General features: G+C 45.0%; 1 protein-coding gene across 22 annotated transcripts in view, besides 7 other annotated features; it reads left to right on the top strand.

Annotated features, from left to right (window-relative positions):
* LARGE1 (LARGE xylosyl- and glucuronyltransferase 1) overlaps nt 1-16,347 on the top strand; it is an 856,162-nt gene that overhangs the window by 61,686 nt on the left and 778,129 nt on the right. For 11 of the 22 annotated variants that reach the window (XR_007067993.1, XR_007067994.1, XM_024452302.2 and 8 more), the window contains exon 2: nt 4,337-4,399. The exons of 9 other annotated variants lie outside the window; for them this stretch is intronic. The gene's annotated coding sequence lies outside the window, so the exon portion shown is untranslated. Of the gene's footprint in view, nt 1-4,336; nt 4,400-6,927; nt 13,483-16,347 lie in introns of those variants that run through there. 2 more of the 22 variants (XM_047441602.1, XM_047441601.1) reach the window with 2 other exon arrangements.
* Nucleotides 6,793-7,292: an enhancer, noted in NCBI's record as "H3K27ac hESC enhancer chr22:34249835-34250334 (GRCh37/hg19 assembly coordinates)". NCBI's record gives its function as "activates a minimal SCP1, AML or CMV promoter by ChIP-STARR-seq in naive H9 embryonic stem cells {active_cell/tissue: H9 hESC(naive)}" and the evidence as "EXISTENCE:reporter gene assay evidence [ECO:0000049][PMID:30033119]".
* Nucleotides 6,793-7,794: a biological region, named in NCBI's record as "H3K27ac hESC enhancers GRCh37_chr22:34249333-34249834 and GRCh37_chr22:34249835-34250334".
* Nucleotides 7,123-7,392: an enhancer, noted in NCBI's record as "active region_18887". NCBI's record gives its function as "activates an Ori minimal core promoter by ATAC-STARR-seq in GM12878 lymphoblastoid cells {active_cell/tissue: GM12878}" and the evidence as "EXISTENCE:reporter gene assay evidence [ECO:0000049][PMID:35858748]".
* Nucleotides 7,293-7,794: an enhancer, noted in NCBI's record as "H3K27ac hESC enhancer chr22:34249333-34249834 (GRCh37/hg19 assembly coordinates)". NCBI's record gives its function as "activates a minimal SCP1, AML or CMV promoter by ChIP-STARR-seq in naive H9 embryonic stem cells {active_cell/tissue: H9 hESC(naive)}" and the evidence as "EXISTENCE:reporter gene assay evidence [ECO:0000049][PMID:30033119]".
* Nucleotides 11,265-11,900: an enhancer, noted in NCBI's record as "NANOG-H3K27ac-H3K4me1 hESC enhancer chr22:34245227-34245862 (GRCh37/hg19 assembly coordinates)". NCBI's record gives its function as "activates a minimal SCP1, AML or CMV promoter by ChIP-STARR-seq in naive H9 embryonic stem cells {active_cell/tissue: H9 hESC(naive)}" and the evidence as "EXISTENCE:reporter gene assay evidence [ECO:0000049][PMID:30033119]".
* Nucleotides 12,584-12,878: an enhancer, noted in NCBI's record as "tiled region #8125; K562 Activating non-DNase unmatched - State 24:Quies". NCBI's record gives its function as "activates a minimal TATA promoter and a strong SV40 promoter by Sharpr-MPRA in K562 cells {active_cell/tissue: K562}" and the evidence as "EXISTENCE:reporter gene assay evidence [ECO:0000049][PMID:27701403]".
* Nucleotides 12,599-12,748: a silencer, noted in NCBI's record as "silent region_13647". NCBI's record gives its function as "represses an Ori minimal core promoter by ATAC-STARR-seq in GM12878 lymphoblastoid cells {active_cell/tissue: GM12878}" and the evidence as "EXISTENCE:reporter gene assay evidence [ECO:0000049][PMID:35858748]".

The following is a 16,347-nucleotide window of genomic DNA, read 5'->3' as shown; positions in this document are numbered from 1 at the left end:
GGGAATAAGGGGGGTGGAAGAAAAGGAGGAAGAAGAGAGGTGTTCGAGGCAGAGGCTGCCTGGGCGATGCCGCTTCGTTACCCACTCTCAGCCTAAGGAAGCGTTGCCCACCCTGAGATTCAGGGTTGAAATCTCTCTAGCGACAGTGCCCAGGAGTGCAGGCTTCACACTCCAAGGACCTTGCTGAGGGTGCATGGATGTACGGGCAAGGGTCGTGGTTGTGGTGGCAGTGCAGTAGGTCATCAGAAAGGCCTCAGGCTGGCTGCGCCCACGGTGTTCCCCGTGCTGACTCCAGCTTGCAGGCAGATGCACCATTCTAGTTGTTGTGGGCAGCTGGAGTGGGGGACTGGCCCAGGAGGGTCAGGGTAGTGGCCTGGTAGTTTGCACGTGTTGGTCTTGCCCCCGCTTTGCCCTGGTGAGCGCTGAAGTCATGTTTGTGTGAGCCAGGCATTCTCCTGATCACGGTTGCACGCCCATCCTCAGAAGAGCCCCCTCTGAGGTGCTGATCCCACCACCACCTTCACAGCTCAGGACGCTGAGTGTCAGAGAGGCTGGGTCGCTTTCCTCAGGCCATGCTTGCTGCTGAGTAGAGAATCCAGTGTGGAGCCAGGACACTGTGACCCTGGAGTTCCCAACCACTAGGATTGCCCCTCCAGGCCCTTAACTTCTCTGGCCACAACTTTATTTCTTATTCCGAAAACAAAGACAGTGGGAGAAACAAATATTTATTTGAACATCTATGGTATGCCAGGTGCTATGGGTTAGACTGTGTACATTATTTTATTTAAGTCTTATTTCAAGCCCTGGGGTTAAGTATCAGCTTCTCGATTTAAAAAAATTCAAAAAAGGCCAGGCATCGTGGCTCACGCCTGTAATCCTAACACTTTGGGAAGCTGAAGCGGTAGGATCACTTGAGTCCGGGAGTTCAAGAGCAGTCTGGGCAACATAGTGAGACCCTGTCTGTACAAAAAAATTTTTTTTTAATTTAAAAAAAAATTTAAAATTTTTTAATTGTAAAATACACATAAGATTGACCATCTTAACTATTTTTGGGTGGACAGTTCAGTAGTGTTAAGTATCTTCACATTGTCGTGCAGCCAATCTCCAGAACTGTTTGGATCTTGCAGAACTGAAATTGTGCATCCTTTGAACAAGAACTCCCTATTTTCCCCTCCTCCCAGCCCCTGGCAAGCAGCATTCTCTATGGGTTTGAGTCCTCCAGGTACTTTATATGAGTGGAATGATATAGTATTTGTTGTTTTGTGACTGGCGTATTTCACTTAGCATGAGGTCCTCAAAGTTTACATCACATGGTGTAGCGTGTCGATGATATTTCCTTCTACTTTATATGTATGCCACATAGCACCTTGGTTTGCCCATTTATCTGTTGCTGAACATGTCCTTGATGAACCATACATGTCATAATGGGTTGCTTCCAGCTCTTGACCACATTTTGTTGATTTCGTTAATCATTCAAGACCAAGAAAACATACCTGGATTTAAGCCCCGGTCTCTGTTTGATACCTGACTTCTGACTGCTTTTTACTTCCAAGGATCCTCCAGCTTTAGGAGTTGAGAAGAATTTTATACAATGTGGCCTTTGTTAAGCCTGAAACTGCTTTGGGCCTGTTGAAAACTCCCTTTTATTTTCTGAGTCCCTACTCAGACAACACTTCTTCCAGAAGCCTGGTGGGGACCAAGTTTATACCGCCAGAGGCCACAATGTAAGGTGAAGGCTTTTTGTTTGTATCTGTTGGGTGCCCGTTGTTTTCCTAGTGTCATTTCTACCTTTTCCCAAAGCTCGTGCGTTTGTTTCCATATTTTAAAAATGACTATGATGAGATGTCGTTCTGAAATTAGGAAGTACAGTAATACAACATTATTATCATGATACAGGTTTGCATTTATAAGGTGAGCTCCCTTGGGGCTAGTCATTTTTATTTTTTTTAATTATACTTTAAGTTCTGGGATACATGTGCAGAACGTGCAGTTATGTTACATAGGTATACATGTGCCATGGTGGTTTGCTGCACCCATCAACCCGTCATCTACATTAGGTATTTGTCCTAATGTTATCCCTCCCCTAGCCCCCGACCCCCTACAGGCCCCAGTGTGTGATGTTCCCCTCCCTGTGTCCATGTGTTCTCATTGTTCAACTCCCACCTATGAGTGAGAAGATGCGGTGTTTGGTTTTCTGATCTTGTGTTAGTTTGCTGAGAATGATGGTTTCCAGCTTAACCCATGTCCCTGCAAAAGACATGAACTCATCCTTTTTTATGGCTGCATAGTATTCCGTGGTGTGTATGTGCCACGTTTTCTTTATCTAGCTTATCATTGGCATTTGGATTGGTTCCAAGTCTTTGCTATTGTGAATAGTGCTGCAATAAACATACGTGTGCATGTGTCTTTATAGTAGAATAATTTATAATCCTTTGGGTATGTACCCAGTAATGGTGAGAGACAGGACTAGCTGGATTTCCTAGGCCAACTAAGAATCCCTAAGCCTAGCTGGGAAGGTGACCGCATCCACCTTTAAACAGGGTGCTTGCATCTTAGCTCACACCCGACCAATCAGGTAGTAAAGAGAGCTCACTAAAATGCTAATTAGGCAAAAACAGGAGGTAAAGAAATAGCCAATCAACTATCACCTGAGAGCACAGCGGGAGGGACAATGATCAGGATATAAACCCAGGCATTCGAGCCAGCAATGGCTACCCTCTTTGGGTCCCCTCCCTTTGTATGGGAGCTCTGTTTTCACTCTGTTAAATCTTGCAACCGCACTCTCTTCTGGTCCGGGTTTGTTATGGCTGGAGCTGAGCTTTCGCTTGCTGTCCACCATTGCTGTTTGCCACAGTCACAGACCTGCCGCTGACTTCCATCCCTCTGGATCCAGCAGGATGTCCACTGGGCTCCTGATCCAGCAAGGTGCCCATTGCCGCTCCCGATCGGGCTAAAGGCTTGCCGTTGTTCCTGCACAGCTACGTGCCTGGGTTCATCCTAATCGAGTTGAACACTAGTCACGGGGTTCCACGGTTCTCTTCCGTGACTCGTGGCTTCTAACAGAACTATAACACTCACCACATGGCCCAAGATTCCATTCCTTGGAATCTGTGAGGCCAAGAACCCCAGGTCAGAGAACACGAGGCTTGCCACCATCTTGGAAGCGACCGGCCGCCATTTTGGAAGCGGCCCGCCACGATCTTGGGAGTTGGAACTCCCGGTTCCAACTTGGGAGCAAGGAACCCCGGTAACAATGGGATTGCTGGGTCAAATGGTATTTCTGGTTCTAGATCCTTGAGGAATCGCCACACTGTCTTCCACAATGGTTGAACTAATTTACACTCCTACCAGCAGTGTAAAAGCATTCCTATTTCTCCACTTCCTCTCCAGCATCTGTTGTTTCCTGGAGGCTAGTCATTTTTTCTCAAGCCCAGGTCTTAAGCAGATAACTGCCCTGGGTGTGCAGTAATATGGTTTATGGTGTCAAAGGCGAGATCTCTTGTGTGATAGGCTAGAGATTCTCTCTGATGCACTCGATTATCATTTTCTATTTAAAATAGGCATTTTGTTTATCTAGGAGAGCATTAATTACTAATTACTAACATTTACCGATAAACAACTATAAGAAATATTTAAGTAAGTGTTTTGTTAGTATGTGTCCTTGAAAACTTACTGCAAGTGAACATGTAATTTAACTTGGCCTTTTTCTGATTGCATCGTTTCTTGCCGTTGCCTGTCCAGTGGGAGTATTTATTGAATTCTTGCCCTTTGGGGCTTCCCAGCTGTCTGGGTATCAAAAGCTCCCAATGGATTTTTTTCTCCTGCCCTTGAGGGGAGTCTGTTCCTTTTGGCTTCCAGCTTAGAATAAAAGAGCCACTAATCTGTCTGCCCCATGAACCTTTACTTAAAGATGTTCTTTTAGGCTGGGTGCGGTGGTTCACCGCTGTAATCCCAGCACTTCTGGGAGGCTGAGAAGGGCGGATCCCTCAAGGCCAGGAGTTCGAGACCAGTCTGGCCAACATGGCAAAACCTCATCTCTACTAAAAATACAAAAATTAGCTGAGCCTGTAATCCCAGCTACTGGGGAGACTGAGGTACAAGAATCACTTGAATCCAGAAGGCAAGGGTTGCAGTGAACTGAGATCACGCCACTGCATTCCAGCCTGGGCAACAGAGCGAGACTCTGTCTCAAAAAAAGAAAAAAAAAAGTTATTTTAGCTTTTTCTGCTTGCTCTTGGAAAAACAAAAATTAGGGAGCGGCGGGGAGACAGGAGAGGATAATGACAGACAGGTTCATCTGACAACTAACCTTAAAGGGGCCTTGTCTATTTTTCAGAACCTACATTAAGAAACGCATTCAGATGCATCAGCCGTTTGTAAAGCACCTGTCGTGAGCCAGGTAAGATGTGTAGCGTTTTCAAAGCTGTTTTATTAAATCCTCACAGAAACCTTTCCAAGTTGCCGTTTTTCAGCAGGGCGATCTGTGCTGAAGTAAGCTACCTCGCTTGGCTCACACAGCTAAAAGTAGACGCACCAGCCTAGGGCTTGGCGTTGTCCGCCTCTAAGTTTAGGGCTGTAATCCGGTTCTTTCACCAAAGAAGACACAGTGGCTGCCTCACAGGGACCTGGAAACAGTGTCTAATTCCCAGTTCTGGTGGGATTTCCCCTGTGTCTTACTCTCTTGGCTGATGATCAGTAGATCTATTTATCACTTCTAGGAGCTGCGCCTTAAGTCTTCATTTCAGCCTCTTCGTATGGACCTCACTGAGGCTCTGAGGGGGAAGTGACTGCTTAGACCCACCACCCACCCACCCAGCTTGTTCTGTCGGGAATGGTTCTGACCCTCTTCCATGGAGAGGCATGTGTTTGTCTGGGTGGAGAACATTTCCAGAGGAGCATGGCCCCCTGAGAACTGGTCCGGGTATGGCCACAGTTCAGCACTCTGGTTGGATTCTGCACATGAAACATTTTGAAATCTTTTCAGTGGAAGTTTGGTTCTTGGACAGCTCTCTTCTGCTGTCCCCTAAACCCCCTATTCCTACTGAGATCAGAGGCCATTTGTTGTACATAGTCATCGCCCAGGTGCCAGCGTAGGGCTGGGTGCCCGGGAAGCCTCCAGTAAGCAGCACAGAGGTGCGGGGTGCGTCTCAGGATGCCAAGACTTGATCCCGACTCCATCATTTATTATTCCTGTTCTCTTAACCTTTTAAGCTTCAGTTTCTTTGTCTTAATAAAAAGGGGGCATGTGAAGAGATGACAGTAGTCCTTCATGGTTTTGCTGTAAGGACTCACTGAGCAAAAAACGTGTAATGAGGGCAGGTATGGGCTTTATTAATTTTTGTATCCTGAGGTTGGTATTCACTACATATTCATCAGAATGATGATGAAAAAGTAAGGAACCCCCCCACTCTGAGTTTCATTTGCTCCACTTCGAAAACTAAGATACTGGTGTTAATCTGTGGTTCCTGGGGGCAGAGGGCTGCTCATCAGAAATTCCTTGAGGGCCTTTCCCAGAAGCACAGGACCAAGCCCCACCTCTGAAATTCTGATTCCTGCCATCTTGGCTGGAATGTGGCATTTGGGTTCTGAAACATGGGTCCTGGGGATTGTACCACACAGCCCTGGTGAGGCGTGATGGGCCCTCCAGACCCTGAGGTCTCTCGCCTGATCCTTTCTGGGTTGGGCAGGTTGGGGGCACATGGAGTGGCTAGCAAATGGTTAGGGTTCTGACAGTTTCCCACTCCACCCCTCTACCTTCCACCCGTTCTTCAAGGCCCACTTTATTTTTATTTATTTATTTTTTTTGAGACGGGGTCCCGCTGTCTTGCCCAGGCTGGAGTGTGGTGGCGCGATCTCCGCTCACTGCAAGCTCCGCCTCCTGGGTTCATGCCATTCTCCTGCCTCAGCCTCCCGAGTAGCTGGAACTACAGGTACCGCCACCACACCCGGCTAATTTTTTTGTATTTTTAGTAGAGACAGGGTTTCACCGTGTTTGCCAGGATGGTCTCGGTCTCCTGACCTCATAATCCGCCCTTCTCGGCCTCCCAAAGTGCTGAGATTACAGGCGTGAGCCACCGTGCCCAGCCTAAGGCCCACTTTATATGCCACCTTCTCCAGAATGACTGCCCGGGCCTCCTGAGCTGGAAAGTGCTCTCTCTCTCTGCTGAATGCCTTGTGGTCCTGCCTCTGGGGTTTTGTAATGCTGCAATCAGCCATAAGCTTGTGAAGGACGCGGCCTCGCTTGATGCAACATGGCACCCCACAGCACCTTCGCCGGGCTCTTGCATCCAGTTGGCATATCATTATATATTTACATATGTCACCGATACATTTATGAATAACTGTTTCAACAGCTAACTCTTTGGCTTTATAAATCACAACTGCATCTCCCAAGATTCCTTCTGTGTCTCTTCAGACCAGTAACACAGAATGTCTTTGTTAAATTGGACCTTTTTTTTTTTAAATAAACTGGAGACACTTGGGGAGAATAAAATGATGTACTCTGCTTTTGTAATTAGCTGTGATGATTAGACTATCTTCTTCATAATGTCTTATTTTTACTTGCTTTGGAATTTATCAAGTGCTCTCTTTTCTATGAAGGTTACCCTTCAAGTGAGTAAGGGGGCTTGATTAGAACACTGGGGGATTTACCTTGTACTTTTTAAAAATAAGACTCATGATGGAGAAGGCTGATGTGAGCCGATGGTGAAAGGTCAGCCTGGAGCTATAAAAAGGGGTCTCTGAGCTGAGAAACTGAAACCGATGCTCCCAGACCAAGATTTTTTTTTTCTGCCATCAACTGCTGAAGTAATTAATAGTCACTTTTATTTTAGAATTTGTTTTATATTTAACAAAGCAGCCTGTCATGGCTTCTCTTCATGCCCAGGGCAAGGTCCTTTCTTTTTTTTTTTTTTTTTTTTTTTTTTCCCCTTAAGTGCATTTATAATTACATTGATCAGCTCTGAGTTTGTGATATGCCAAGTCCTTGAATGTGATACTCATTTGCTTTCACGTTTTTGATGCAAATGGATCTTGGAATCCATTCTAGAGTGCTTTGGTAGATTTTTTAATCCACAATAGGCAATTTATCTTGTTCAGCCTCTACAAGGACTGTCTGGTATGGCCGGTCTGGGCATCTGGCTGGCCACGAGCCTGCCCAGTAGGGACTCAGTTGGGACCTGCTGAGAGCAGTTTCACTTTCGCATTTGCTTCCTCTTGTCCACAGCTGAACTGAGAGGTGTTCTCGGGGATCCCTAGAGTATTGAGAACAAAGAGCAGAAGGAAGAGCTTGCATACTTCTATTTTCCATCCATTCAGTGAATATTTAGTGCCTGCCCCAAGGCAGGTTTTGAGGATACAGCAGACGGCACAACAGGCAGACATATCCTTGTGGACGTGCTCTGGCACCAAGCTGTTTCCAACTCAGCACATGTGGGAAAGGAACTGGCACTTTTTTGTATCCTTGCTATCTTCGGCATATGTGGGCATACTTATTTAAGCCTCACAACTGTCTGTGAAGTAGGTATTATTAAGGGTTATGTAGGCCACATGTATCTGTGAACATCATACTGGTGTGTGGTGTTTTGCATAATAGAGCTATGAAATTATGCAGCTGGGGTTTGAAAATAAACCCTGCCTTTGGCCATCTAGATGTTGAACAAGGGACTTAAATGCTCACAGCCTCCTCCTCTTCCCCTGTTTTGAATGAGGCTAAAGGTTGGACCTCTCAGGATCATTTGGTAGTTAACACTTTGCAAGTTGGCATGGATACACACAGGTATTGTAAACCTGTGTGTGCTTGAAAAGCAGCGGCTGTTTCTGCCTGTGATTCTGGAGTTACTTCTGGATTTGATCCTATACAGAATGCTCTTATATCCTGTTCATTATAGGGAAGGAAGCTTGTGGCAGGGAATCTGCAGACCCACGTTCCACCTGGTTCTATCATCAAATTGTGTGGTCTCGGACAAGTTCCTAGACCTCTCTAGTTCTCAGTTGTCGCATATCTGAAATGAGACGATGGTGCTGATTTCCCTTTGGATTAATTTCTCCTTGGATTAATTTCTCTTTGGTGGCTTTGTTTAGGCCCCCCCTTCATTTCCATCAAGACTTTCTCATGTTTCAGTTTCATATGGCGGAGGGCTTGCCTGGCTGCCTCATTGATCACTGTGACCCTCGCCTGGCATTCCCATCCCTCTTTACCCTGTTCTGTTTTTTCTTTATTTTCATAGCACTTATCACTTTTCTTTCTTTCTTTCTTTCTTTTTTTTTTTTTTTTTTTTTTTGGAGACGGAGTCTCGCTGTCTTGCCCACGCTGGAGTGCAGCGGCCCAATCTCCACTCACTGTAACCTCCGCCTCCCAGGTTCAAGCAATTCTCCTGCCTCAGCCTCCCAAGTAGCTGGGACTACAGGTGTACGCCGCCACGCCCGGCTTATTTTTTGTATATATGTTTTTTTAGTAGAGACGGGATTTCACTGTGTTGCCCAGGCTGGTCTCGAACTCCTGAGTTCAGGCAATCTGCCCGCCTTGGCCTCCAAAAGTGCTAGGATTACAAGTGTGAGCCACCGTGCCCAGCCTTTATCGTACTTAGCACTTTCTAACAGACTGTATGTTTTTTTAAATTTGTTGTGTTTATTTTTATAGACAAAAAACACATGTTACCTTTGCTGGAATGTAACCTAATTAAGGGGCGAAATCTTTATCGATCTTGTGCCCAGACCACCTTGAAGCCATGAAGGGATGCTCAGGAGGCTTTGTTAAATATAAAACAAATTCTGAAATAAAAGTGACTATTAATTACTTCCACAGTTGATGGCAGGAAAAAAAAAACTTCATCTGGGAGCATCGGTTTCAGTTTCTCAGCTCAGAGGCCTCTTTTTGTAGCTCCAGGGCTGACCTTTCAACGTTGGCTCACATCAGCCTTCTCCATCATGAGTCTTATTTTTAAAAAGTACAAAGTAAATACCACAAACAGGTATTGTGACTTGTGGAACAAGTTGTCGAGAAAATTACAAAGAATAGTTCCTTCTGCTGCTATCTGCTTAGAGCCAGCCTGGCTCTAATAGCTGGGGCCTTTGTGTGTTCTCTTCTTGGGCATAAAGAGTTTCACAGAATACAATATAGAGTGATGGAGTCACTCTATGTTGGTAATAGAACAAGACAAAAACAAGACCACTCAATCATCAACACTGAGCACAGATAAAAGCAAGATCACTGCAAGGCACAAAAACAACCAAACATTCCCCAGTCTCAGCTCACACGAATGTTTCTTTACCGATTATGGCTTTAGCCTCATTCTGTTCCTCCTGCCTCTTAGATAAAAATTAGGAAGCTACGTCATCATAAAATTTCTGCTCTGTTGACAGCACCCAATTCAGAGCAAAACTACATTTCCCTGAGCCTACCCCTAAATCACTGAACACAGTCCAAATTGTATAATGAGCTCCTCCTGACATCCTCTTGCTGAGATCTCTGAAATTCTGCCTGTTGTAGTGTCCACCTTGCTGCAGTGAACCAATGAACCCAACTTTGTTTGACCACAGGTATGTTCCTGGTAGTCTTTAACTGGAGCCGGTGGCATAGTCGCTTGGTGAATAAAACTTTGTCCTAGGCATCACTGTAGAAATGTGTAGGTTATTTTACAGCTGAATGGTATTGAATAGACATGTACACAGTTTAATTGGAGAGCTGAGTCACTTGATAATTGTGGAAACAGAGCAGGATGTGACAGAAGGCAGAAATGCAAAGGTTGGGTAAGTGTGCCTCGAAGTAAGTGACTTGAGAGAAGGAGAAAGCCTAGAAGGCTGGGGCGGTAGAGAGAAGGTAGCTAGGGCTGGAAGACACAGTGGGGTCTTGAGTAAATCGCTTGTTTAGGAGTCAAGAGACCCAAGGTCTTATCCTGGATTTACTGCATATGAGCTGTTAACAAGTCCAATTGTTAGGTTTTTCATTTGTAAAAAACAGGGTCAGTAATCTCTCCTCCTTATCTCACATGGTAGTTAACTTGTGTGAAACACCTTGTAAAGTGTCTTGTGCTGGAAAAGTGTAAGGCCTGGCTCTAATTGTGGAGAGAATTAAAAAACATGCAGTTTCAAGGTGTTTCACCCATAAGCCAGGTGCCAAATGATCCCTCTCTGTCTTCCACCACCCAAACTTTAGAAATGGGGGTTGCCATAGGAACCTTGTCATTATCATTCAGCAGCTATAGACTTGCTCAGGTGGTGTCTTTTTTTTTAAGACCGGTTAGGTTACTTATAGGGTCTTGGGAGCAGGAGTGTGGTGGGAGGGGCATAAGAGAGAGGCAGGGATAGAATTAGAATGGGGAGCCAGCAAAACTCTTCCTCCATCAGATGAGGGGCCTGGGATCCAGCTGCTACCTTTATGCCCTCCGCCCTATCCCCCTCCACTCTGAGTCAGACTTGGTTGTTCAAGGATTTAAATGGGAAAATGTGTTAGCCAGATTATCCTTCCAAATAAGGTTATAAAGTCTACCGTATTAAAGAGGGGAAGATTTCCTTCTGTGGAATTTCAGATCTTGATAATAGTAATGGTAATAATAATAATACGACTGTCTGTCATTTATTAGGTGTTTGTTATATGCTGGACACTGGATTCAGCATTTGTGGGTGTTGCTTCCTTTAGTACTTGCAATAAATTCATTGTTATCCTTCTTTGCAAATGAGGAGGCGGAAACCTAGAGGTTAAATTACCCACCCACAGTCACCAGCCAGCTGGCCTCACAGCCCAGAGTTGAACTAGGTCCCTCTGACCTCAAGTGCGGAAGACTTAAGACTCTGCTCCCTGGTTTCCTTGCAGATAATCCTAGGATATGAGAGCTATTATCTAGAACACTCGTCTTTTAGATGGGAAAATAGGGGTTAGAAGAGGTGAAATCCCTGTTTGAAGGCCGTGTTATTGCTGCTGCTGGTGGTAGGGCCTGGGTGTGGCCCGAGATCTTCTGATCCTCAGTCCAGAGAGTGAATAGGACTTTTCTCCTGATGGGTTTAAATATGAGTGGTTGTGGTCGCTGGCAGTTTCTGCAACAGAAGTATGGTCCTCCTTTTACTTTTCTGTGGAAAAGGCCCTCAAGCTACAGAACCAGATCATTGCACCCCCACCCCCTACCAGCCATCTGACCCTGGGCTCCTTCTTTAATCTCTCCATCCCTTTGTATTTCCTCGTATGGAAAATTGGGATAACAACTGTACCTATACCTTAGTATTGTAATAAGAACTAAAGGAGTCCGGGCGCAGTGGCTCACGCCTGTAATCCCAGTACTTTGGGAGGCAGAGGCGGGAGGATCGCCTGAGGTCAGGAGTTTGAGACCAGCCTGGCCAACACGGTGAAACCCCGTCTGTAGTTAAAATACAAAAAAGTTAGCTGGGCATGGTGGTGCTCATCTGTAATCCCAGCTTCTTGGAAGGCTGAGGCAGGAGAATTGCTTGAACCTGGGAGGTAGAGGTTGCAGTGAGCCAAGATCGCACCACTGCACTCCAGCCTGGACAACAGACTGAGACTCTGTCTCAAAAAAAAAAAAAAAAAAAAAAAAGAGAAGAAAAGAAAAAAGAACTAAAGGGATTAATATGTTGAAAACTCATAGCCTGGTGTCTAGTACCCAGTAGGTTATGAGTGAGTACTGCCTGTTAATAATGTATCGCATCCCTCGTTTGAAGGATGTAGTCCTAATTTGAGTTTTTTTCAGTAGACTGGAGCTCCTGCCCTCACCCTATAGCATTCGTATCCTCTGAGATACATGGATACTGTTGAAGTTATGGTGAAGATGATGGGGTGCTGGGAGGTGGAGTGGAATGGGATTGATTGATGAAAAAACGACATTAGCTTGCTAAGGACACCCAGGTGGTTGAGATGTTCTGCGAAGTGGGCCTGTGTGTCTGCTGGACCTGGAGTTGAGGGGACAGCTTTCTTCTGAGGCAGCGTCTTATCCTGGGGTGACTCCGGGAGGCAAAAGCATTAACTATTGATGAGACTGATGACACACTATCATTCCTAGACCAGAAATGGTGCAAGAACAGAGAGGATTTATCCTGCTCTTCTTTCTCTACACAGTCCCTGTGTCAGAGAAGGTGTCTGCTGAGTGGACAGGCCAAGAACTGTTCTCTGGGACGGAGTGCAGATGAAGTAGGGGGTGTAAACCCATGAAGAACAATGAAGCAGAGCGAGTGAAGCAGGACAGGCTGGGGTGGAGGAGAAAGAATTTGCCTTTATTGTGCAATTAGCCTTTTCGATTCTTTAAAAGCTTTAGGAGATAGTGAATATGTCCCTCCAATCTACAGACCCGAAGAGGCATCTCGGGAAAGTGATTTGCCCAGGGGGACAGATCAAGGACCTGACCCCAGGTCCCTCTCTCTGCCTCAGAGGCCCTCTGGGATCCATTAAAGGGTCTTGTCTTGAGTAATTAACTGAATACTGGTTTATTCAGAATGAGGGGTCTTTAATTGGGGGATAGGCATACCTTTGGTAAAACCACTGGAGTTTTTGGGCCCAGTGTCTGGCAGTGTGCAAGGAGCGTGGGGCATCTTTGGCACAACGCGGCTTCAGGAAGAGCCCTCCTTCCCTTCCTGAGTAAGGCAGAGTTTGAGTCAGGCTGGGGTGGGCTCCTGGTGTGGGGACAGGTTATTGTGGGTGCTGGAGGGAATGACTTTCACTCTGAGTCATTCAGTGGCCTGCAGGGGTGCAGGGCTGGGGGTGGAGAGAGAAATAGAGGGCTGGCCAAAGACTCTCAGTGCCTGCCCTTTCTTACCCCTAGGGCCCATGAGCCTGGTTTAAAAACCGCTTATCCACCACCTCGTTTTCATTCTCACACACTGAGTCCTTTAGACGTAAGCCTGTTGGTGAGGAAGACTGTTGCAGTGGCTGAGATGTGCTGGGCGAAAGATTTTCAACTAGTCTTTTCCTAATAAGCACCTACTTGTTTATATTCTGAGCTTTCACAGCAGCATTCTAGAAAAAAGAAATACGGAGGACTCAAAAAAAATACGCTGCCTGATTTAGTTTTGATTGCTCACGTCTCTGGCTTCTTTCATGGAACTATTAATTGACTATAGGGAGTAGCTGCTTTTCGCACAATAAGCTCCTAGTCATGAAGCAAAATGGTGACATTGATCATTTTGGGGTCCCTCAGACTCTGGCAACGTTGAAACAGGCTGTCAGTTTTTTTTGTAACCACCAGTTAGCATGAGTGGGGGTGGCAGAAATTACCAGTTTGATTTTTGATCAGGGGCTATGGCTTATACTTAAGCTATTTGGAGGGAGGAGAAAGCGTGAATGAGCGAGTTAAGGCAGTAGAAAGATGGAGCCATGCTGGGTTTTTAGGCAGTTGTTTCAAAAACAACACAAAGTGAGAAATGGTGAAAACCAGGAACTGTTTGGCTTTTTCTAGTTTACAATGAGAGAAGAAAGATGTTTGGGGAATTTTAGAAGACTTGAGTCTATCGTGTAGTACATCTGGTGGAGTCCTTGTACAGGTCAGTTCACAGCGTACCACTGCTTAGAAGTGGACTGGATTTAATGGGGCTGGCTATTTATTCAGCAACAACTTATTATTCACCTTCTATGTATAAAGCACTACTCTGAATAAATGTCTTCTAAATTGTTAGAATCTAAACTATACTCAATATTGTTACCATGTGAAGCATATCTTATGGAATTATGATTTTTTAAAAAACTGTTACTCCCATGTCATTAAATGAAAAGTTTCAGAACAATGGTAGTTGAATGCAGTTTGGGTAAAACTGTGAATATCTAATATTCTATATTTGTGTATGCATGAAACATTTTGGAAGATGGATAAGACACTGTAAAATAATCAGTCTAATAAAGTCAGTGTTTTAATCCATGGTTGCCAGCATCACAAAAGAGAAACAACCAGATGTCATGTGCCTCTTGATGGAACTTTATCGGGGAACCTGCCCCGATAGTCACGTAGGTTCTTTTCTATTTTCCTAAGCGTCGGCTGGCTTGAGAAATAAAGGACAGAGTACAAAAGAGAGAAATTTTAAAGCTGGGCATCCGGGGGAGACATCACATGTCGGTAGGTTCCGTGATTCCCCACAAGCTGCAAAAACCAGGAAGTTTTTATTAGGGAGTTTCAAAAGGGGAGGGAGTGTACGAATAGGGTGTGGGTCACAGACATGAAGTACTTCACAAGGTAATAGAATATCACAAGGCAAGTGGAGGCAGAACGAGATCACAAGACCACAGGACAGGGGTGAAATTAAAATTGCTAATGAAGTTTCGGGCACCATTGTCATTGATAACATCTTATCAGGAGACAGGGTTTTGAGAGCAACCGGTCTGACCAAAATTTATTAGGCAGGAATTTCCTCTTCCTAATAAGCCTGGGAGCGCTATGGGAGACTGGAGTCTATTTCACCCCTACAGCCTTGACCATAGAAGATGGGCACACCTAGTGGGGGCCGTTTATAGACCTATACCCCCAGGCATGTATTCTCTTTCCGAGGGATGTTCCTTGCTGAGAAAAAGAATTCAGTGATATTTCTCCCATTTGCTTTTGAAAGAAGAGAAATATGGCTCTGTTCCACCTGGCTCACCGTTGGTCAGAGTTTAAGGTTATCTCTCTTATTCCCTGAACAATTGCTGTTATCCTGTTCTTTTTTCAAGGTGCCCAGATTTCATATTGTTCAAACACACATGCTCTACAATTTGTGCAGTTAACGCAATTATCACATGGTCCTGAGGCGACATACATCCTCCTCAGCTGACAGGATTAAGAGATTAAAGTAAAGACAGGCATAAGAAATCACAAGGGTATTGATTGGGGAAGTGATAAGTGTCCAAGAAATCTTCACAATTTATGTTTAGAGATTGCAGTAAAGACAGGCATAAGAAATTATAAAAGTATTAATTTGGGGAACTAATAAATGTCCATGAAATCTTCACAATCCACATTCTTCTGCCATGGCTTCAGCCGGTCCCTCCGTTTGGGGTCCCTGACTTCCCGCAACAGAACTTGGATCTGTTCAAGACCCTAGATCTAGCTATGAAGTCACAGGAAGTATACAGAGGGCAGAGATGCAGGTTAAATGACAAACAGAGACGCTGTCATGAAAATTCAGACAGCGGAAAACTCTGTAGAAAAACAGCTCTGTTCTTCACCAAGGAAATTGTAAAGGGGAAAATTTGATGGCACTGGTGGCTTGTGGATTTTAGATGAAGTTAAGGAATTAATGTTCTTTTCTTAGTGTGGTAATGAAATTGAGATTTAAAAATAAAGATTTTGAAACCCTCAGGACCAAGATGATAGTATATCGCGGATTTGCTTCAAAGTAATCACGGGGCGGGGAGAAAGGGAGTCATGGGAATGAGTAGGTTAGAGAGGAAACAAGGCTGTAATTATCATGACTTGATAATTACTGATATTGGGTCATAGGTACATAGGGACTCTCTTGTTTTAATGTTTTTAACATTTTTCATAATACAAATGTTAAGTGAAATAATGATTTAGTCTATTTCTTAGCCATTTCCTAAAGATATGCATTATAAGGTCCATTATAGGCCAGGCGTGGTGGCTCACACTTGTAATTCCAGCACTTTGGGAGGCTGAGGCGGGTAGATGATCTGAGGTCAGGAGTTCGAGACCAGCCTGACCAACATGGAGAAACCCCGTCTCTACTAAAAATACAAAATTAGCCGGGCATGGTGACGCATGCCTGTAATCTCAGCTACTCAGGAGGCTTAGGCAGGAGAATCGCCTGAACCCAGGAGGTAGAGGTTGCGGTGAGCTGAGATCGTGCCATTACACTCCAGCCTGGGCAACAAGAGTGAAACTCTGTCTCAAAAACTAAAAATAAATAAGTAAATAAATAAGATCCATTATACATCCCATCCTGGAATTTTTCAACTTGATGTGATGCTACAAAGATGATCTAGTTCCCTAATATCATTCCATGAACTTCTAGGATTCTGGGTTTCCCAGGGGCTGGGGGAGGTAAGGGAGAGAGACTCAGGTAAGTGGGACTTTAGAATCCTGTAAATACACTTCAATCACAGATGCGTCACCTGTGTGTTTTAGATCTTTGCATTTCCCGGAAGATTTTATTGGGGACAAAAAGGGGGCTTGTTATTTATAGAAAGAAAAGTTTGAGGCCAGGCGCGGTAGCTCACGTCTGTAATCCCAGCACTTTGGGAGGCCGAGGCGGGTGGCTCACGAGGTCAGGAGTTCAAGACCAGCCTAACCAACATGGAGAAACCCCATCTCTATTAAAAATACAACATTAGCCAGGCATGGTGGTGCGTGCCTGTAATCTCAGCCACTCAGGAGGCTGAGGCAGGAGAATCTCTTGAGCCCGGGAGGCGGAGGTTGCAGTGAG

The sequence above is a fragment of the Homo sapiens genome, chromosome 22 (genome assembly GCF_000001405.40).
Source record: "Homo sapiens chromosome 22, GRCh38.p14 Primary Assembly".
Taxonomy (NCBI): domain Eukaryota; kingdom Metazoa; phylum Chordata; class Mammalia; order Primates; family Hominidae; genus Homo; species Homo sapiens.
This window is presented reverse-complemented; position numbering and strand designations above follow the sequence as displayed.